Source organism: Homo sapiens, chromosome 10 (genome assembly GCF_000001405.40).
Source record: "Homo sapiens chromosome 10, GRCh38.p14 Primary Assembly".
Taxonomy (NCBI): domain Eukaryota; kingdom Metazoa; phylum Chordata; class Mammalia; order Primates; family Hominidae; genus Homo; species Homo sapiens.
Window position 1 is genome coordinate 67,207,788 of NC_000010.11, and position 23,811 is coordinate 67,231,598.

At 37.3% G+C, this 23,811-nt stretch overlaps 1 protein-coding gene across 9 annotated transcripts in view, besides 2 other annotated features; it reads right to left on the reverse strand.

Moving 5' to 3' along the window:
• The window catches only part of CTNNA3 (catenin alpha 3), a 1,851,072-nt gene that overhangs the window by 1,295,265 nt on the left and 531,996 nt on the right, over positions 1–23,811 (reverse strand). For 8 of the 9 annotated variants that reach the window (XM_047425124.1, NM_013266.4, XM_017016152.2 and 5 more), the window contains one exon: positions 11,820–12,083. In XM_047425124.1, the coding sequence (XP_047281080.1) occupies positions 11,820–12,083 (264 nt within the window). Of the gene's footprint in view, positions 1–11,819; positions 12,084–23,134; positions 23,231–23,811 lie in introns of those variants that run through there. The other variant, XM_017016156.2, reaches the window with a different exon arrangement.
• Positions 22,602–23,187: an enhancer, noted in NCBI's record as "NANOG-H3K27ac-H3K4me1 hESC enhancer chr10:68990147-68990732 (GRCh37/hg19 assembly coordinates)". NCBI's record gives its function as "activates a minimal SCP1, AML or CMV promoter by ChIP-STARR-seq in naive H9 embryonic stem cells {active_cell/tissue: H9 hESC(naive)}" and the evidence as "EXISTENCE:reporter gene assay evidence [ECO:0000049][PMID:30033119]".
• Positions 23,188–23,771: an enhancer, noted in NCBI's record as "NANOG-H3K27ac-H3K4me1 hESC enhancer chr10:68990733-68991316 (GRCh37/hg19 assembly coordinates)". NCBI's record gives its function as "activates a minimal SCP1, AML or CMV promoter by ChIP-STARR-seq in naive and primed H9 embryonic stem cells {active_cell/tissue: H9 hESC(naive and primed)}" and the evidence as "EXISTENCE:reporter gene assay evidence [ECO:0000049][PMID:30033119]".

The following is a 23,811-nucleotide window of genomic DNA, read 5'->3' on the forward strand; positions in this document are numbered from 1 at the left end:
TATAATCTAGATTAATGGTTTGGAACATTTAGTGTGCTTAAGGATCACCTGGGAAGGCTCGTCTTTGAAAATGATTCATGACCTCATCATCAGAGTATGTCTAAATTTGGGAACAGAAATCTTCACTTTTAACTAGCACCCAAAGTGATTCTTGTGCAAGTGGTTAATCACCAAACATTTGAGAAACATCAACAGAATTAGAGTCCCCAAACTCAACAAACAGAAGAACTTAAGGAAACATAATTAGTATAATTAATATTCTAAAAGAGATTCAAATGTTTATCATAGCTATAAGAACAGCCAGGCCAGGCGCGGTGGCTCATGCCTGTAATCCTAGCACTTTTGGAGGCTGAGGTGGGTGGATCACGAGGTCAGGAGTCCAAGACCAGCCTGGCCAAGATGGTGAAACCACGTCTCTACTAAAAACACACACACAAAAAAAATTAGCTGGGCCTGGTGGCAGGCGCCTGTAATCTCAGCTACTCGGGAAGCTGAGGCAGAGACTTGCTTGAACCCAGGAGGCAGAGGTTGCAGTGAGCCGAGATCGTGCCACTGCACTCCAGCCTGGGTGACAGAGCAAGACTCTGTCTCAAAAAAAAAAAAAAAAATAGCCACAGAAAACACCACTGGTATTCTTGGAAATTTAAAATGGTATTGCAAAAATAAAAACTAGACAGTTGAAGACTTAAAGAGCGGAATGAAAATAGCTAACATCAAAATCAGTGACCAGAAAAGAAAGCCAAAAATTCTCACAGAATGAAAAGGATATGCAAAGTATGAGACAAAAATTAAAAGCCACAAGACTCATCCAGACAGACCAACATTCATCTTAATAAGAGTTTTAGAAGAGAAAAGAAAATGTGTCTCTGCCTAGAAAAGCGTCTGGAAAATATATACCAAGTCCTTAATTGCAGTTATCACTGGCAATAAGAATTGAATTGAGGTGAAGTGAAAAGAGACATTAACTTTTTTCTTAATTTCCATAATTGTATAATTATTTTACAAGAATAAATTCATGTATTCCTTATGAAATTAATTAATCTAGACATGAATAAAATTATTGTCAAAGATACACCAGGAAAATGCTAATAAAAAGGAAGCCAAGAATATCAATATTAATACCAGACAAATTGAATCAGAGTAGACACTATTAAAATAAAGAGGAACATTTTATAATAATAAAAGGTACCTTCCACCAGGAAGTCATAGGAGTCAAGAAAACTTCTAAATCTAATAATATAAGGGTATTGTTATTTTTTGTTGTTGTTGTTGTTGTTGTTAAGACAGAGTCTCACTCTGTCACCAGGCTGGAGTCCAGTGGCACGATTTTGGCTCACTGCAACCTCTGCCTCCTGAGTTCCAGAGATTATCTTGCCTCAGCTTCCCAAGTAGCTGGTTTTACAGGCACACGCCACCGTGTCCAGCTAATTTTTGTATTTTTAGTAGAGACGGGGTTTCACTATGTTGGCCAGGCTGGTCTCGACCTCCTAACCTCAGGTGATCCACCCGCCTTGGCCTCACAAAGTGCTGGGATTATAAGCATGAGCCACCGCACGGGCCTAATATAAGTTTTTAAATGTATGGAACAAAATACCACTAGAAATACAAGGAGAAAATGGTATTTTGCTGTAATGTGAAAGACTTCAACTAACCTCTCTCAAACAGGTGAAACAGAAAACAGAAGTAAGAATGAAGACACTTTATTTATTACAATTACGAACTTTTAAAACTTCCTCCCAAAGAGAGAATACACAATTTTTTCAAATATGTATAAATACAACTTTCAAAACATGAATTAAGCCACAAAAAATTTCAGTGTTCCCCCAAAAAAATTCCAAACATTTTCCAAAATAAAACCTATATTTTCTGACCAAAATTCAGTAAAACTAGAAATTAATTTTAAAGGATGACAAAAATAAACAAAAAACAATTTTAAAACACCAAAAACCAATTTTAACATTTTTAAAACACACTTCTAGTAGTATAAGGCAAAGAAAAAAAAACTAAGTTAAAACTAACACCTATTTTTTAAAATACAGATAAAAGTACTGCTTATTAAACATAGGTGTTCAGAGGAAAACTGACACCATGAATGAGTTTACAAAAGAAAAAAACCAAGTAAGAAAAACAGAAAAAGAGAGACTAAAAATTAACTCAATAAATATATTCAAGATATTATAAAAGATCAGCAAATTAACCTAAGAAATTAGAAAATATAAGTTAATAAAAATAAAAGCAGGCCAGGCACGGTGGCTCAAGCCTGTAATCCCAGCACTTTGGGAGAGCAAAGCAGGCAGATCACAAGGTCGGGAGATCGACACCATCCTGGCTAACATGGTAAAACCCTGTCTCTACTAAAAATACAAAAAATTAGCCAGGCATGATGGCATGCACCTGTAGTCCCAGCTACTCTGGAGGCTGAGGCAGGAGAATTGCTTGAACCTGGGAGGCAGAGATTGCAGTGAGCTGAGATTGTGTCACTGCACTCCAGGCCAGGTGACAGACTGAGACTCCATCTCAAAATAAAAATAAAAATAAAAGCAGAATCTAGTAAATAATTAAATAGTAGTCTTAATTGCTAAAAAGAAAATTCTTTACAGAGAAGAAAATAAAAATTCAGATTTTTAAAATTCAAACTAAAAAAAAGAAGACACATGTTCCTAATGTCATTCATCTATTGCCTCTTTTTTGTACACATCTGTGGAATACAACCTGATGCTTTGATATATGTATGCACTGAGGAATGACTGAATCAAGCTAATTAACATGTCCATCATCCCACATACTTTTTTGTGGTGACTCTTTTATTGAGGTTTTCTTTGCAGCCTTTGCTCCATTTTTGTGGATCCATTTTGGATCCATTTTTCCATAGCTATTTGAAAGATATGCGTCCTCTGTTGCATGTGAAGTTCTATACATGAAATCAACTTTCCATACTGCATATGGGGGGGGGCTCAATAAAAAATAATAAATAAAAATAAAAACTGTTCTATTTTGAGGTCCTCTATAAATTTCAATCAGTAGTCAGTGTGAATTATCCACTCCTATTACACAATCCCTTCATCAGCTCTCATATTTATTTTTCCTTCATGCCTTTTCTCATTTTGCAGTGCTCACAAGTATGGTCCCTAGTTAACGCTAAACTAACCCTAAAACTAAACATCATCAAGGAATCGGCATCCAAGAAAGCCCGACCTGTGTCATGTGAGTGAGGATCTAAAGGAAGAGTTGTGCTAGCTTTTATTGCTTGATTTATGGTATTCTTATCTCCTGAATATGCAATTTTTAGGATTGGAGGCTTTTTATTTTTACTTATTTTCTAGCTCCCATTAAGCACATGACAATGTGGAAATAGAGAACAAGTACCTAATAAATACTGATGATTAACTGATGGTCATGAGACTCATGATACAAACATTTTATAAGAATTTGTTTTTAAAAACTTGCTGTGGATTCATTTTGGTTTTTTCAAGTTTTGGAGAAAAAAAAAAAAACATTACTATAACTGGCTGCCAGAGTTTTCTCCAAGCTTGACATCGGGTCCATATAACAGCAAACCTTGAACACGATCTATAATGCCATGTACATCATGGGGTCTAAGAGTCCCAAGAAGCCAAGAGCAAACAAGGTCTAATACTCATTACTATCCATGTGTTTTATTTAATCATCAAGATAAAGGAGATGTTGTCCTTCTTTTATTGGGTAAATATTTATTAGATGCATTAAAACCTCACACTAGGTTCTGAAATATCAACAATTCATTGCTTTTTCAATAAATATGTTTAAAGCAATTACTATGTACCTGGCAACTTGCTAGGCGGTGACAATATAAATATGAATAAGGCATTATTCCTCTACTCATATAATTCATCCAATAGCAAAGACAGATGCATAAACAAATAAATGTATTAAACTCAAGACCTAATTGTATTCCAACAGTCTCCATCATTTGTCACAAGAGCATTATTTGGAAAGAGTAATTGTTGGGAGGGCTCACGAAATATGTGTTCAAGTTATAACTCTTCTAATTCCTGTTTATTTGACTTTGTACAAGTTACACAACCTCACAGAAGAGTAGTTTGCTCCTCTATAAAGTACACAATAACTCCTGACCTATGTGCTCTATGAAGCAATTTGATACTATTAATAAAATGTGCAGATAAACACCCTAAATAGTACAAATGTAAGATGCTAGTACCTTAAATTTGTATTAAGCCAGTACCTAGCACAAGGGTTCACACAGACATTAATTACACAGAAAATAGATTTAATAAATATTTGTTAAATATAAACAGTACATTGTTGTAGCACTTATTCTCAGATTTACCACCCATTTTAACACACTTTATTCAATTTCATTATTAACTACCTCAAACATAAGAGAATGTATGAATAAAGAATAATAATATAACACACATTCATCTACCAACCCAGCTTCTGAAAAACAATATGCTCAGTAGCTTTAAAGCTCCTGATGTGTGTATGCAACCTCTTTCTCCCCACTCCTCCACTCCTCAATATTGCATAAATCATTCTCTTCCTTCTCTTTATATCTTACCAGACATGTCTGTAACACTAGAAATGTGTTGTTTAGTTTTGCTTGTGTGAGCCTTTATATAAAAGTAAAAATGCTGTATGAATTCTTATACGGCTTGCTCTTTTATGGTAAAGCTTTTTGTTTTGGTATCATTCATATTGACATGTATTACTATAATTTACTCATTTTTATTCATTATGGCCTCATGTCTAAGTTTAAAGGGAGTGTTTTTAATTACTCAAATTTAACTATGAAGTTTACTGTAGAATTTTACAGAAACCCTTTATCAAGAAAACTCACTTCTGTTCCTAGCTTTCTAGAAGTTTTAAATAAATTATATTGAATTTTTCAAATGTTTTCTGTATCTACTGAGATTATTATATAGTTTTTCTCTTCTAACTTGTTAATGAGGTGAATACCATCAGTAAATGTTCTAATGTTGAACTAACATTACATTCCTGGAATAAATTCAACTTTGTCATAATGACTTTTTTATCTAGTGCTAAACAGTTTATTCACATTTTGTTTGCAATTTTTGCATCTAATTTCATAAATTAGATTGGCATGTGAATTTCCTTACTTATCTGACCTGTGTAGCATCGTTTCACACTTGCTTCACCAATTTCATATAATGGATTGAGAGCTACTTTGTTTGTTTGTTTGTTTGCTATTCTCAGGACACTGCTGTAGAAATACATTTACATATTCCTGGAAGGGTTTATAGTATTCTATCAAACTATCTGAGCCTCCTATTTGCTTTCAGTAAAAACTGTTAACTACTAATTCTATTTAATTATTTCATTCAGATTGTCTATACTTGAGTCAATTTTGTTAATTTATATTTTCTTAGGAATTTTTCCATTTCATCCAAATTTTCATTTTTATCAGTATAAATTTGTTTATAATATTCTTTTAGTGTTTTAGTATTTATAATATTTAGTATTTAGTCATAACCCTGTAGTTATGACTCCTCTTCTGACTTTCACTCTTACATGCTGTTTTTTGTCTGCTTTCAGTATTCTTAATTTATCTCACCAGCAGTTTGTCAATTTTATTGGTCTTTACAAATAATACACTTTTGGCTTTGTTGAACTTCTCTACTGTATCTTTGTTTGTGATTTAATTAATTTCTATTCTTATCTTTATTAATTTTTTCCTTCTGGGTTTTTTATATTGTCTGTTTCAAACTCCAAGTGGAAACTTAGCTCCTTAACATCCAGCTTTCTTCTTTCCTAATATAAGCATGTATAGGTGAGAAATTTCCTTCTATGTACTCCCTTTAGCTATATCGCTCAAGTTTTGTTGTTATTATACATTATCATTATTTCTCAGTTATAAGTATTTTTTACTTTCAATTATAATTTATTCATGACCCAGTAGTTATACAGATATGGTTTTCAAAAAAGATTCCAAATAGTAGGGTAATTTCACTTATTTACCTAAATACATTTCTAGGTGGCCTGTATAATACTAGTGCTTTGAAAATCATGACTCAGTATGCTGTCAATTTTTGTTAATTTTCCATGTGTCCTCGAAAAGAATGTGTTACAACCTCCTGGTGAATTTATCCTATCAGTAGATAGTAACTGTCATTAGCATTTTTACTAGTATTGATATAGCTATACCAGCTTTCTTCAGTTAGAATTTGTTGGATATCGTTTTATCCTTTGACTTTCAAACTATCTTGATTCTTAAGTGTTAGATGTGTTTTTATAAACAGCATATAGCTAGATTTCGTTTTATATTCTAAGCTGTCAGTCTTTTGTCTTTGGAGAGTTTAGGTTTCCTTTTTACATTTATTATGATTCCAAGATTATTTGGATTTATTTTATTATGTTTTCTACTGTGTGTACATCCTTCTTTTTCCACAGTGTTTTTTCCTCCATTTTTTTCTTCTTTTGGACAAACTGAGTTTCTTATTTTCTCATTGCATTTCTCCTTTTCCATATTTGGCAATTATACAGTCTATGACTACACATTTTTAGTAGTTACTATAGACATTTTAACATGCTTATTAAGATAAATGCCTAATATAAGTCAATATTTTTATCCTTCCCCAAAAAATATATAAAGACCCTAGAACATTTAACTATGATTCTATCCATCCTAATTATACACTGTGTTTCCAGACACAATCATTCTACAATTTTAATTATACAAAGTATACATAGTTATTAATCATTTATAAAAAGTAATATGTAAGCAGTAATAAATCCTTATGTTTACCATTTCCTCTGCTTACAAATTCTTGCATTTGCACCCTTAAGATAGGATAATTTTTTTATTTTTCTTTAACAATTTCTTCAGTGAAAAGTTGTTGACAATAAACTATTCATGTTTGGGACTGGGTAAAAATATATTTATCTTTTTTCTTGAAAAACAGCTGTATCATGTATTGAACTCAAGGTTAACAGTTATTTTCTCTGAGAATGATTTACTATCTTGTAACATTCATGTTTAAGAACTCGGCTATCATTCACAGATAATCAGTCATCATTCATAGGTAACTCTTTTTTTTCCTATTTTCTTTTAAAAATATTCTTTTGGTCTTTGGCGTTCTTCAGTTTCACTATGATACGTGTAAATATAGGTTTCTTTAAAGACACCTTGCTTGGGATTTACTGGGCTTCTTAGCTATAGAGAATGGTGACTTCCATCAGTTCTAGGAAATTCTCATTATCTGTTTTATACTTCTCTCTCTTCTGAATTGTATATTATAATATTTTAGAACTTGTCATGGCATGTATCTTAACTGCTTTTCAAAAAATACTTTTTACTTCTGTGTCTTTCTGTGGGAAACTCAAAGTAACCTCTTCAAATATCTTTCAGATCACCAATTCTCTAACCTAATCACCTGTTTTGCCTAACCATTGAATTTTTCATCATTATATTTTTCATTTTAGATAGCTCTGCCTGGTCAATTTTGACAGTCTTTTGTTTCTTCAACATATTCATTAGGGAATAATGTATATTAAAATACTTTTTTCAGTACCTTATAATTTCAATATCTACAGTGTTTGCAGACCTGATTCTGTAGTTTGTTCATTCTATGAAGTTACTCAAGATGGCTTATTTGTGTGTCTTGTGAAAACCATCTTCCTTGGAACCGTATGAGAATTTTTTGAAAGCTGTGTATAAAGTGCAGAAAGAATCTGAGTTTCCTTCTGGCAGATCTCTGGAGGTATTGCCAGGATAAGGCAATTTTAAACTAGATTTTTGGATGGGGTTTTAGAGGCTACACAGATAATATGAATGCTGACCCAAAGTCCAGATAAGGACAGGCCTATGGCTAGAAAATTCCAACATGGATTCTGTTCCTTTTTTCTGAGCTTCCCAGAGCCAAGGCTATGCTAGTCAAAAGTTCTCCCAACATCTCCTGCTATTCGGGTTAGTGTTATTTTCATTTCTCCAACAAGGTGGTCAAATTTTAAAGATTCCCAGTAACATGCAAATGTATCTTACGGGACTTTCCAGTTGGCAGGATACAGAATTTATCTTTTGTCTTCAGTTCACAGTCTTTCAAGATTCAAGCTCCAGGCCATAATTGAAAAGCAGCTACCCCATCCCCCAGCATAATGCTGGTGTTGGCTCACTAGTTTGGATTTTGTGCTTTTTGTATCAGCCTCAAATAATTTCCATAATTCAGTTATCAGATTATTTATGTATATAAAAATATTTTCTTCATCTCTTTTAGTTCTTATAGTTCACTATATATCTAGAAACCAAACCATTTTTTAAAATCATATTAATGTGCTTCTAGATAACAGTGATATCTATTTCTTCTTTAGCTTCTAAATGCTAATCTGACTAACAGAGATCCTGTTTTCTCCTAACAGGTGAAAATGTAAGAACATGAGGAGTATCTTCCCCAAAATTATTACCCTTAGTAAAAGACAGAGTATCTTGGAAGTAACAGGGAACTCTGACTAAGGCTGGACAGCTGCTGAGAGAAGAGAATATATATAAAGTTTTTTCTCTTTGTGCTGCCTTACCACAGAAAGGATTCTGAGCAGTGTATCACTTACATGTGCTTCTGGTAGTTTCCATCACTATAAATTCATGGCCTGGTTAAAAGTTAAAGTAGAGCCATATACCCCCAAATACATCCACTTTCAGTCGGAGGAAGGAGAAAAAAATAAGGGTAAGGAAAAAATGCTTTTCACTGCAAAATCACAAAATGGCATGCCGTATTATTGCATTCATTCATTCATGCATTCATTGATATTTACCTAGCACTTACTACATTTAGGGCATTATTCTAGGTGCTGGAGATATAACAGTAAACAATGACTGTATGAATGATGATACATGAATATGTAAAAAAGTTAAAAAAAGTGAATATGACAGCTCTCTAAAAATAAGAAAATATACATACATATCATTTGTTATCATCTTTATTGCATGGGAATTCAGATTAGTTCTTGTGTACCACAATGACAACAGCTGCTTTTTCCCTCCTCACAGGAGACAATATGTCTTAATGGACTTGGAATTTTCAAAGCAATTTTTATTGGTGAAGTTTCTTGCTTCATAACATTTTCAAAATTCTCTTAATCTACAATTCAGCACTTCTCAGCTCTCATTCAGCCACAAATACAGAAGAAAACCCCTATAATTCACACTGGCCTTTCCAATAAATCAATTGATTTAGCCAGTATAGTGTTCCAATTCAACTTCTATTTTCTCCACTCATAAATTTCAGGTTTCATACTCACACCCAGCCAAGGGCCAGAATGAAAAATTTAACAAAAGCTTCAGCATGGTTGTTGAGTAAGCACTCTGATACATTCCACACTATAAACATTTAATGAGACTTACTCCCAACAGAGTATTTACTACATCAATTTACTTCATAGTATTATATTTGCAGGAGCAAAATAGAGCAAAGGTTATTTTGGATCCTTTACCAATACAGCTTCCTGTAAATAATGAAAAGTGCAACCATTTAATTTACCAAATCATTAAAAAAGGTTAAATGCTCAATAAATTCTGCTTTATCTAGTTCAGTCAGCCACAGCAGCTATTTGTAACTTGGATATAAAAAATATAGAAAACTTAGGCATTTTTTACTAGTTTGTGCATCTGTACCTTTGACTAGAACTAAATTTCAAAGGTTGTTCAGACAGTTTAGAATCCTCATTAGGATCTCAGAGAAATATCTTTTGGACCCCTTCCCGCCTCATGAAGAACAACTGAGTCTGCCTTTCTTAAGAGAACACTGTTGCCCTGCCTATGCCCACTCCCACTGAAGTTACACACATAACACGCACACTTTCTCCTCCTCTCCAACCACTGCCATTTTGTGCCTGTGGCAGTCACTTTCAACTAAAAAGAGAAAAGAGAAGAGGTCTCAGAAGGAGGAACAATTTGGAAATGTCTTCTTCTTTAATCCTAAAATACAGAATGCATTGTCTGAGATAAACTGGAGCTCTTATGGGAGCATTCTCTGACACAATTGTGTTTTAGTACTGTGAAAAATGTGCTATACAGGTTGAGCGTTGCTAATCTAAAAATCTGAAATCCAAAATGCTCCAAAATCTAAAACTTTCTGAATGCCAATGTGATGGCACTAGGGAAAAATTCAGCATCTAACTTCATGTGACAGGTCGCAGTTAAAATGCAGTCAAAACATCATTTCATGCACAAAATTTTTAAAATGTTGTATAAAATTACCTTCAGGCTATGTGTATAGGGTATATATGAAATATAAATGAATTTCATGTTTACACATCAATCCCATTCCCAAGATAATTCATTAGGTATATGCAAATATTCCAAAATCCAAAAAATTCCAAAATCCAAACCACTTCTGGTCCCAAGCATTTCAGATAAGGGATGCTCAACCCGTATGATCCTATCTATCTACTCTAACAAATTTCAATGTATCACACTCGGCACTCCCCAGATACAGACTACAGATGGTCCCTGACTTGATTTAACAATGGTTCAACTTATAATTTTTTCCAGCTTTATCATGGTGCAAAAGTAATACATATTCAGTGTGTATATAGAGTGTTTCAGGCCCCTAAAGGTCATACCCTTCCCAGGGTAGAGTAACCTGCATCCAGTGACTGAAAGAGACATACAGGCCTGGCCATTTCTGCCTGACAAGGTACACTCTGGAGGGCAATGCTCTCACCAGAGCTCCCTGCTGATTGGCCTAGGCTTTGCGGGTCTAGCTGTCAGGTAGACTTCTTCCTCTATCCAGTCCCGCTCCTTCCCTCTTTCCTTCCCAAATGTAACACCTTGTTTTCCAAACTCCATTCTGTGTGTGATTCTGGAGGACCCAGCCTACAACACTAGCCATGACTCCTTCCTTTCATTCATGTCCCACATCCATTCTATCAAAATTCAGTTGACTCTATTTACAAAATTTAGCACTGATGTCCACCAACACCACTCTAGTCTAAACTAAAACATGAGGTGGTTCATGTAAAGTGTATAAATGGAACCTGGGTTACTACAATAGCCTCCAGCCTGGTTTTTCAGTTCCTCTCATTGTTCTCCTTCAGTCTATGTTCCTTATGCAACTATCATAGTCCTTTTAAGACACGAGTCGCAGCATGTCACACCTTTGCTTAAAACCTTTCAGTGTATTCCCATTTAACTTGGAGTAAAAGCCAAAGTCCTTAAAGGCATACACACTCCTAAATGGTTGGTTCTCCAACCTTAGCTCCTGCTACTCATCACTTTGCTGTCTTCACCTAGACACCCTGGTTTTTATGTTGTCACTTAAACACAGGGCACATACCTTCAAGCCTTTGCTCTAGATCTTCATCTGCCCGATTCCTGAACTCTTTCAAGGCTTTGGCATTATCTCACCTTCTCAGTGTAACATCTATACAATTTTGTTCTCTACAGTGTTTATTGGTTTTATTTTTTGCCTATAATCACCTGCTAAAATGTAAAAATTTGTCAAGGGAAGTGATCAGATATGTCCCAAGCACATAGAACAGTAATGCCAATAAGTATTTGTGGAGTGAATAAATCTTATGCTTCATAAGTAGATCTACATAAAACAAAGTCATCATTTCGATCTAATTAACAATCCCACTTCAAATTCATTGGATTCCTTGGCAGAGATGTACAGGAGTCAGAAGTTTACTAACAGAGTACTTTCCTGTTAATCAATTCTTTGGAAGACTCAAGAAGGTGATAGAGACTAATCTGGATTTTTTATTTTCTCATGCTCTAAACGCCAACATGTGGATCTTCTTCTGTTTTATTATTATTATTACTGTATTAGGACATCAGATCACACTTTATCTTTCTCCCGACTTACCTCCAGCTCATCAAGGGCACTTCCCAGGGTTGCTGCCTGAGGTTCTGGTGGGGTTGTCATATTCTGGATCCCTTGTGAAGCATTTGAAATTACATTGAGAGCATTCTGAATTTCTTCACAAACTGTGTCCTTGCTTGCTTTGAGGGAAGCAACATCAGAATGCTCCAAACAAGCTGAACAAATTGAATGCAAGAGGGGAGAGTTCTCCTTCAGTGAAGCTCGGGCTCCTGCAATTTCATCTCTCTGATTTGGAGATTTTAAGTCCTGAGAAGGTAAATAAAAAGAGTGGTATCTTACAATGGGTTATGGGAGAAAGACTTAAATTAAAAAGCTTCTTTTTTTGTAAGTATAAATGAAAAGATAATAGACATGAAGAAGTCAGCTATAAGTTATAATCAAGGGCATCTATTATTTCTACATTCTTTCAGTTTCTGTTAAAAATTCTGCAGTATAAACAATGACACAGTTAATAAGTAAAGGTCCCCGTAGAGCAGATGTGTAAAGATCCATTACTATTCAGTCAAGTCCTTGTCAGTCAAATCCTTATAAGTAGCTAAAATACTCTGGCATTCACATTATTAAGTGCATTACATGGGAGCTTGAATTACAAGGATGCTGATTACCTCATTCCATAGATGTTGATAATTGCATTTAACCTCTCCGTTAAAATTAGACCAATTGAGTTAAGAACACTAATGAAACCTCCCACCATTCAGCTATTTTTCTTTTTCAGAAATACTAATAAATTAATCCTATATCATTCTTTCTTTGATATTTATTCAACAATTAGTTACTGAGCACTTAGCATATTCTAGCCCTTGTGCTGGACTCCAGTGTACAGATATGAAAAAATCCTACAAGGACCTTGTTCTTCTTTCTTTTGGGGGGAAAGGGCCTACAGACAAACAATGAACTAGATGAACAAATATACGAGATGATTTCAGGTGACAATAAATGCTATGAAGAAAACACAAAAGTGAAGTGTCATAGAGATTGACTTGAAAGGAAAAGCTGCTTTAGGCTGAATGGTCCGAGAAGGTATTTCTTCAGAGATGACAATTTGCAGTAAATGTAAATGAATAGCATTACATCAGAGAGAAGAGAGGAAAGAGAATGCCCTGTCTAAGTGATAGGCGATCAGAACTAGCTCAATATACAAGAAAAAAATCTGGCAAGCCCTACCTTAACCAAGTGATGAAATTTAACATAATCAGTGATATCACATGGATATCATGTACCCCTTGATATACTGTGACAGGAAAAGTATGCCATTTCTGTGGTATTCCCTCCAGGAACCCATAATTCCAGTCTAATCATGAGAAAAGCAACAAACAAAATGAGATTGGTGAACATCCTAAATGACACCTGGGCAGTATTCCTCAAGACCATTAACATCATGGAAAACAGGAGATGGACTGACAAGCTGTCACAGAACAGAGAAGATTGGGGAGACATAACTAAATGCAGTGTGGTACTGAGGATTAGATCCTGGAACAGAAAAAACATTCATGAAAAACTGCTGAAATCCAAATAACCATTATTAATAGTTAATAGCAATGCATCAGTATCCATTTCTTTGTAGTGGCAAATGTAAGATACAGCATTAACAATGGAGAAAACTGGAAAAAAGGTAAATGGGAACTCTCTGTACCACCTTTGCAACTTTTCTGTAAATCTAAAATTACTCCCAAATAAAAGCTTAAGTTAAAAAAAACTAATTCAAGGGACATTTACAATAGTTCATTCACTTCATATACAACATTTCATATAATCTTTATAAAAACTCATGAGAGATGTGATTATTCCCATTTTAAAACTCAAAACACTAAGGTTTCAAGAGACTAAGTTTCTTAGCCAAGTGGCAGAGCTAGATGGTGGTATTTCTTGTATTGTAACCCACGTCAGTATAACTTCCAAGCCCTTATCCTAAAAACTATGTGACATTATTTCCTACATAGGAAAAATTTTTTTCTTTTTTCTTTTTTTATGACAGAGTCGCGCTCTGTCGCCGAGGCTGGAGTACAGTGGCGCGATCTAGGCTCACTGCAAGCTCCGCCTCCTGGGTTTATGCAGTTCTCCTGCCTCGGCCTCCTGAGTAGCTGAGACTACAGGCACCCACCACCACACCCAGCTAATTTTTTGTATTTTTAATAGGGACGGGGTTTCATCATGCTAGCCAGGATGGTCTCGATCTTCTGACCTTGTGATCCGCCCGCCTCGGCCTCCCAAAGTGGAAAAATTTCTTATTTGCTACACAGAATGAGGACTTGTATTTGTATAATATCATGTAGCTTATAAAGTGCTTCTATACAGTATCTTACTGATCATGACAATAGTCTTTGAGGGAATGAGGCTGCTATTATTAGTCCTATTTTAACTAAACAGGTGTTTGGTGCAAGGAGATAGAAACTAGTAAAGGAACAGAGATCTAAACCTAAGTCTACTGATTGCTAACCTTATGCCTTTTCACAAGACTCTGCTACTCTGGGAATAATGTTGCATGAGGTTAATAAATGGCTTGTGCTACTATATTTTTAGTTCCTTCCCTTCTGAAAATAAACACTGTCTGCTACTTCACTCAGGCTTTGGAGAGATTAACTTCGTTACAAAATGTAGGGAGGACAGTTAGAAGTAGCTATCAACCCACTGTTCATAGTCACTAATCACCCAAGAAAAGACACTATGGTTTTCTTGGCTTGCTACGATTTCCCCCTTGTATATGTGGTCTGGGTTTTAGTTTTAGTTCTGTCATTAGCACTGTGAGCTAGGTAACTCATCTCTTTCGGTGTCTGTCTTTCTATCTGTAAAAATGGGATAATGATACTTCTGCCGACCCTCTCACAAGATTGAGTACATAGCACATCAGAAATGGAATATAAGTGGAAAATAGAGAAAAGGTGTAGAAAGAATACGGAATTGTTTTATTCCTTACATCTGTCAAACTTGGTGTACTGTTTCTGTACTGATAATCTTAGTGATTTTTGTATTTCCCACAACGTTGTACAAGCTCTACCTACAGTCATCAGTGTAACTTAGAGGATAAATAGTTTAATGTTTAGAAAGGATGCACAGCTCCTCAGATGAGTAATAATTAAAAGTATAAATATTTAGAAAAAGGTAAGGCAAATTCTCTGATATTACTGTACAATCACAACTTAATACATAATTCTCTCTGAAGTGACCTATACATTATGCTTCTTTATTTAGAAGGACAGTGTCAAGGTTTAGTTTGTTTCTGAAAGGTGAAAAACTTGAACATAGATTATAATCAAGAAGCTAAAGTTAAAATTATTTCTTTTGCTCTAATGGTAGCAATGTGTAATCTGATGGTAAATTGTAGTAACTTTAATGCCATGGGGACTTTGAAATGTTAAAAATACAAATGTATTTTGAATTTGGAGCCTATGCTTTGTCATCTCTGCCCAAGGCAATTACAGAATCCATGAGCCCAAATAGCAAGTCCTTGACGCCTGCGAAAAAGGACTAGATCAGTGAACATAACAAATATAACGTTACAGCAGTGGACAGGGGCAAAGGGGCAGGTGGCAGAGTTTATGTAAGGAAAACTGACAAGGCATGACCATTTCTCCCAAAGGACATCAAGCATGATAAACTTAATGTAGTAAATAGGCACACAGATAAAAGAGAAATTAATGACTGTCACCTCCTAAATGTATGTTGTGGTAGTGGTGTTTGTAGTTGTTTTATTTTAACTGATGATACCATAGGTTCAAAGGTTCTTGTTTGTCCATTTACCCTAAAATTTTACATAAAGTCAAAATAGGCATTAAACAGTAAAGTTAATCAGGGATTTCTTTGGATGGAGAAGTATAAAGAATTCAGCTCCTCAAGGATTGATACTTATTTATAATCTTTTTTTAAATGCTCCAGAAGAAAGCTCACAGGAGATTTCCAAGTTAAGAAGACATTAAATGTTTCCAGCTGACGAAGAAACACACAGATGGGATTTAAAAAGACCTTAAAGTCTGTGCAAGTGGGTAGAGAAGTAACATATGAGTTTTAACCCTGGCAAGAGAACAAAATATATTTAGGAATATTATTTTAAAAAATACAAGTGGAGGGCTTTAAGCTATCAGTTAATTAATTCAACCATTCCTTCAACCTGTACTATGTTGAGCCTCTCCTATGCTGAGCCTCGACTTTGCATCAAGGCAGTGTGCTAAATGTTGGAAATGCAAAGATAAAGATCAGGAGGGGAGACAAATAAACACATTTACATGGGAACTAAAATAGAGTTACCCACAGCATAGAGGACAGTCTCTCAGTTTGAAGGGATTAAATAAAATTTCTCAGAGAATGTGAATCTTTTTTCCAGCTTTATTGAGGTACAATTAACAAATAAAAATTGTGTAGATTCAAGGTGTACTATATGATGCTTTCATATACATATACATTGTGTAATGATTACTACAATCATATTAATCAATATATCCATCACCACACAGTTACCCTTTGCGTTTGTGTGTATGTGCTGTGAGAACATGTAAGATCTATTCTCTTAGCAAATTTCAAGTAAGCAATACATTATTATTAACTGTCTTCACCATGCTGTGAGTTAGGTCCCTAGAACTTACTCATCTTATAATTGAAAGTGTATACCCTTTGACCAATATGTCCCCGTTTCCCCCACATGCCAACCCCTGGCAACTATGGTAAAACTGCTTCTATGAGTTTGACTTGTTTAGATTCCACATATAAATACAATCATACAATATTTATCTTTCTGTGCCGGGCTTATTTGACTTAGCATAATGTCCTTCAGGTTCATCCAAGTTGTCATAAGTGGTGGGATTTCAGAGAAGGTGAATCTTAAACAGTGAGTAGAAGTTATCCCTATGAGGGAGGACCCACAGACCCTTTGAAGGAAGCGGACTGCTCCTGCAAAATCTGGGAGACACCACAAATACTGTGAGTGCCCCAACTGCGGAAGTGGGAAAGGGAGAGCCTCCTCTCCTGAATACACAACCCCACTGGGGCAAATGAAGGTCTGTTTGCGGGAGAAGTTTCTGACCTTACCTGGAGCTGAGTCAATTTAAAGAGCCAAGCAAAAAAAAATATAGAGAGGAAGCAGCAGAAAGTCCCTAGGAGCTCGCTGGGTCCCCAGTCAGGCCATTCCTGCCTGGCATCACAGGGATCCACTGGGAGGGCAGCCAGAGAAGCAGGGGTTGGGGGAGGGGGAAGCACCACAGGGAGAAGGAAAATTCCAGCTGAACTTCGTAACAATTTGAACAGGGTGAGAAGCCTCATGGCCAGAACTTGAGGGAGGGTGTGAATCCAGCATGCAGACTCCACAGCGTGGGGGAAGAACCAGGCCGTTTTCATTTGAAGGTGGCAGGCAGGTAGCCTGGGGCAAGTTCTCAAGCCCAGCTTGCCCACCACCTGGAAACAGACTTGGGGCTGTTTGGGGGCACGGTGGGAGTGAGACCAGCCCTTTGGTTTGCCTGGGAGCTGGGTGAGGCCTGTGATGGCCAGCTTTCCCCCACTTCCCTGACAACCTGGATGACTCAGGAGAGGCAGCCATAATCTTCTTAGGTGCACAACTCCATTGACCTGGGAATCTCACTCCCACCCCCTACAGCAGCCACAGCAAGACCCACCCAAGGACAGTCTCAGCTCAGACACGCCTAGCTCTGTCCCTATTTGATGGTCCTTCCCTATCCACCCTGGTAGCTGAAGACAAAGGGCATATAATCTTGGTAGTTCTAGGACCTGCACGCTGCCAGTTCCTCTCCATACTACCACAGCTGATGCTCTCTACAAAACCCCATCTCCTGGCAGGAGGCCAACCAGCACAAAAATAGAGCATTAAACCACCAAAGCTAAGAACCCTCACGGAGTCCACTGCACCCCGCTGCCACCTCCACCAGAACAGGAACTGGTATCCACAGCTGAGAGAGCCATATATGGTTCACATCACAGGACTCTGTGCAGATAACCCACAGTACCAACCCAGAGCAGGGTAGACTTGCTGGGTGGCTAGACCCAGAAGAGAGACAACAGTCATTGCAGTTCGGCTCACAGGAAGCCACACCCATAGGAAAAGCGGGAGAGTACTACATCAAGGGAACACCCCTTGGGACAAAAGAATCTGAAAAACAGCCTTCAGCCCTAGACCTTCCCTCTAACAGAGCCTACACAAATAAGAAGGAACCAGAAAAAAAAATCTGGTAATATGACAAAACAAGGCTCTTTAGCACCCCCAAAAAGCACACTACCTCACCAGCAATGGATCCAAACCAAGAAGAAATCCCTGTTTTACCTGAAAAAGAATTCAGGAGGTTAGTTATTAAGCTAATCAGGGAGGGACCAGAGAAAGGTGAAACCTAATGCAAGGAAATCCAAAAAACAATACAAGAAGTGAAGGGAGAAATATTCAAGGAGATAGATAGCTTAAAGAAAAAACAACCACAAATTCAGGAAACATTGGACACACTTTAGTAATGCAAGAAGCTCTGGAAAGTCTCAGGAATAGAACTGAACAAGTAGAAGAAAGAAATCCAGAGCTCAAAGACAGGTCTTCAAATTAACCCAATCCAACAAAGACAAAGAAAAAAGAATAAGAAAATATGAACAAAGCCTCCAAGAAGTCTAGGATTATGTTAAACGACCAAACCTAAGAATAATTGATGTTCTGGAGGAAGGGGAGAATCCTAAAACCTTGGAAAACATATTTAGGGGAATAATCAAGGAAAACTTCCCCAGCCTTGCTAGAGACCTAGACATCCAATTACAAGAAACACAAAGAACACCTGGAAAATTCAGCCTGAACAGATCGTCTCCTAGACACATTGTCATCAGGTTATCCGAAGTTAAGATGAAGGAAAGAATCTTAAGAGCTGTGAGACAGAAGCACCAGGTAACCTACAAAGGAAAACCTGTCATATTAACAGCAGATTTCTCACCAGAAACCCTACAAGTAAGAAGCAATTGGGACCCTATCTTCAGCCTTGTCAAACAAAACAATTATCAGCCAAGAATTTTGTATCCAGTGAAACTAAGCATCATATATGAAGGAAAGATACAGTCTTTTTCAGACAAACAAATGCTAAGAGAATTTACCATTACCAAGCCACCACTACAACAACTGCTAATAAGAAGCTCTAAACCTTGAAACAAATCCTAGAAACACATCAAAACAGAACCTCTTTAAAGCAGAAATCATACAGGACCTATAAAACAAAACTACAAGTTAAAAAGCAAAAACAAAAAACCAAAGTACATAGACAACAAAGAGCATGATGAATGCAATGGTACCTCACATCTCAATACTAACACAGAATGTAAATGGCTTAAATGCTCGACTTAAAAGATACAGAACCACAGAATGCAGAAGAACTCACCAACCAACCATCTGCTGCCTTCAGAAGACTCACCTAACATGTAAAGACTCACATAAACTTAAAGGGGTGGAAAAAGGTATTTCATGCAAATGGACACCAAAAGCAAGCAAAGGTAGCTTTTTTTTTCTTTTTTTTTTTTTTGAGATGGAGTTTTGCTCTTGTTGCCCAGGATGGAGTGCAATGGCGCAATCTCAGCTCACCACAACCTCTGCCTCCCAGTTTCAAGCGATTCTCCTGCCTCAGCCTCCCAAGTAGCTAGGATTACATGCCTGCACCACCATGCCCGGCTAATTTTGTATTTTTAGTAGAGCCAGGGTTTCTCCATGTTGGTCAGGTTGGTCTTGAACTCCCAACCTCAGGTGATCTGCCCGCCTTGGCCTCCCAAAGTGCTGGGATTAAAGGCCTGAGCCACCATGCCTGGCCAAAGGGGTAGCTATTCTTATATCAGACAAAACAAACTTAAAGCAACAGCAGCCAAAAGAGACAAAGAGGGACATTATATAATGATAAAAGGCCTTGTCCAACAGGACAATATCACAATCCTAAACATATATGCAACACTGGAGCTCCCAAATTTATAAAACAATTACTAATAGATCTACGCAATGAGATAGCAACACAATAATAGTGGGGGACTTCAATACTCTACTGACAGCACTAGACAAGTCATCAAGACAAAAAGTCAACAAAGGAACAATTGATTTAAATTATACCTTGGAACAAATGAACTTAACAGATATATACAGAACATTTCATCCAACAACCACAAAATACACATTTTATTCAACAGCACATGGAACTTTCTCCAAGACAGACTATATGATAGGCCATAAAATGAGCCTCAATAAATTTAAGAAAATTGAAATTATATCAAGCACTCTCTCAGACCACAGTGGGAAAAAAACTGGAAATCAACTCCAAAAGGAACCTTCAAAACCATGCAAACACATGGAAATTAAATAACGTGCTCCTGAATTAGCATTGGGTCAAAAATGAAATCAAGATGGAAATTTAAAAATTCTTCGAACTGAACAAAAACCTCTGGGATACAGCAAAGGCGGTGCTAAGAGGAAAGTTCACAGCCCTAAACACCTACACCAAAAAGACTGAAAAAGCACAAACTGACACTCTACGGCTATACCTCAAGGAACTAGAGAAACAAGAACAAACCAAACCCAAACCCAGCAGAAGAAAGGAAATAACCAAGATCAGAGCAGAACTAAATGAAATCGAAACAAAATGAAAACAGATGATAAATGAAACAAAAAGTTAGTTTTTTTGAAAAGATAAATAAAATTGGTTAGCAAGACTAACCAAGAAAAGACAAGCGAAAATCCAAATAACCTCATTAAGAAACAGGAGATAGGCCAAGCACAGTGGCTCACGCCGGTAATCCCAGCACTTTGGGAGACTGAGGCGGGCAGATTACAAGGTCAGGAGTTTGAGACCAGTTTGGCCAACATGGTAAAACCCCATCTCTACCAAAAATACAAAAATTAGCAGGGCGTGGTGGCAGGCACCTGTAATCCCAGCTACTTGGGAGGCTGAGGCAGGAGAATCGCTTGAAACCGGAAGGTGGAAGTTGCAGTGGGCTGAGATCGTGCCACTGCACTCCAGCCTGGGCAACAAGAGTGAAACTCCATCTCAAAAAAAAAATAGAAAGAAACAGGAGATATTACAACTGATACCACTGAAATACAAAAGATCATTCAAGGCTACTGTGAACACCTTTATGCAGATAAACTAGAAACCTAGAAAAGATGGATAAATTCCTGGAAAAATACAACCCTCCTAGCTTAAATCGGTAAGAATTAGATACCCTGAACAGACCAATAACAAGCAGCGAGATTGAAATAGTAATTAATAAATTACCAACAAAAAAATCCAGGACCAGATGGACTCACAGCAGAATTCTTCCAGACATTCAAAGAATTAGTACCAACCCTTTTGACACTATTCCACAAGATAGAGAAAGAAGGAACCCTCCCTAATTCACTCTATGAAGCCAGCATCACCCTAGCACCAGAACCAGGAAAGGACATAAACAAAAAAGAAAATTATGGACCGAGATCCCTGATGAATATAGATGCTAAAATCCTTAACAAAATACTGGCTAACTGAAACCAAAAACATATCAAAAAGATAATCCACCATGCTCAAGTGGGTTTCATACCAGGGATGCAGGGATGGTTTAACATATGCAAGTCAATAAATGTGATACACCACATAAACAGAATTAAAAACAAAAATCACATGATCATCTCAATAGATGCAGAAAAAGCATTTGACAAAATCCAGGATCCATTTATAATTAAAATATCAGGAAAATCGGCATACAAGGGACATACCTCAATGGAATAAAAGCCATCTATGATAAACCCACAGTCAACATTATACTGAATGGGGAAAAGTTGAAAGCATTCCCTCTGAGAACTGGAACAAGACAAGGATGGCCATTCTCACCACTCCTCTGCAACATAGTACTGGAAGTCCTAGCCAGAGCAATCAGACAAGAGAAAGAAATAAAGGGCATCCAAATTGGTAAAGAGGAAGTCAAGCTGTCACTATTTACTGATGATATGATCGTTTACCTTGAAAACCCTAAATACTCCTCCAGAAAGGTCCTAGAACGATACAAGAATTCAGCAAATTTTCCAGATAAAAGATTAATATACACAAATCAGTAGCTCTTCTATACACCAACAGTGACCAAGTGGAGAATCAAATCAAGAACTCAACACCTTTTACAATTGCTGCAAAAAATAAAATAAAATAAAATACCTAGGAATATACCTAACAAAGGAGTCGAAAGACCTCTACAAGGAAAACTACAAAACACTGCTGAAAGAAATCACAGACAAAACAAATGGAAACACATCCCATGCTCATGGATGGGTAGAATCAATATTGTGAAAATAACCATGCTGCCAAAAGCAATCTACAAATTTAATGCAATCCCCATCAAAATACTACCATCATTCTTCACAGGATTAGAAAAAGCAATTCTAAAATTCATATGGAACCAAAAAAGAACCTGCATAGCCAAAGCAAGACTAAGCAAAAAGAACAAATCTGGAGGTATCACACCACCTGATTTCAAACTATACTATAAGGCCATAGACATGAAAACAGAGTGGTACTGGTATAAAAATAGGCACATAGACCAATGGAACAGAATAGAGAACCCAGAAATAAACCCAAATACTTAAAGCCAACTCATCTTTCACAAAGCAAACAAAAACACAAAGTGAGGAAAGGACACCCTTTTCAACAAATGGTGCTGGGATAACTGACTAGCCACATGCAGGAGAATGAAACTGAATCCTCATCTCTCACCTTATACAAAAATCAACTCAAGATGGATTAAGGACTTAAATCTAAGACCTGAAATTATAAAAACTCTATACGATAACATTGGCTTAGGCAAAGATTTCATCACCAAGAACCCAAAAGCAAATACAAAGATAAACAGTTGGGACTTAATTAAACTAAAGAGCTTTTGCATGGCAAAAGGAACAGTGAGCAGAATAAACAGACAATCCACAGAATGGGAGAAAATCTTCACAATCCGTAATCTGACAAAGGACTAATATCCAGAATCTACAATGAACTCAAACAAATCAATAAGAAAAAAACAAAAATCCCATCAAAAAGTGGGCTAAGGACATGAATAGACAATGCTCAAAAGAAGATATACAGAGAAGCCAAGATAGCTGAATAGGAACAGCTCGGTCTACAGCTCCCAGCTTGAGCGACGCAGAAGACAGGTGATTTCTGCATTTCCATCTGAGGTACAGGGTTCATCTCACTAGGGAATACCAGACACTGGGCGCAGGTCAGTGTGTGCACACACCGTGCGCGAGCCGAAGCAGGGTGAGGCATTGCCTCACTCGGGAAGCGCAGGGGGTCAGGGAGTTCCCTTTCCTAGTCAAAGAGAGGGGTGACAGACCGCACCTGGAAGATCGGGTCACTCCCACCCGAATACTGCGCTTTTCCGACGGGCTTAAAAAACGGCGCACCAGGAGACTGTGTCCCGCACCTGGCTGGGAGGGTCCTACGCCCACCGAGTCTCGCTGATTGCTAGCACAGCAGTCTGAGATCAAACTGCAAGGCGGCAGCGAGGCTGGGGGAGGGGCGCCCGCCATTGCCCAGGCCTGCTTAGGTAAACAAAGCAGCTGGGAAGCTCAAACTGGGTGGAGCCCACCACAGCTCAAGGAGGCCTGCCTGCCTCTGTAGGCTCCACCTCTGGGGGCAGCGCACAGACAAACAGAAAGACAGCAGTAACCTCTGCAGACTTAAATGTCCCTGTCTGACAGCTTTGAAGAGAGCAGTGGTTCTCCCAGCACGCAGCTGGAGATCTGAGAACCAGCAGACTGCCTCCTCAAGTGGGTCCCTCACCCTTGACCCCAGAGCAGCCTAACTGGGAGGCAACCCCTAGCAGGGGCAGACTGACACCTCACAGGGCCGGGTACTCCAACAGACCTGCAGCTGAGGGTCCTGTCTGTTAGAAGGAAAACTAACAAACAGAAAGGACATCCACACCAAAAACCCATCTGTACATGACCATCATCAAAGACCAGAAGTAGATAAAACCACAAAGATGTGGAAAAAACAGAGCAGAAAAATTGGAA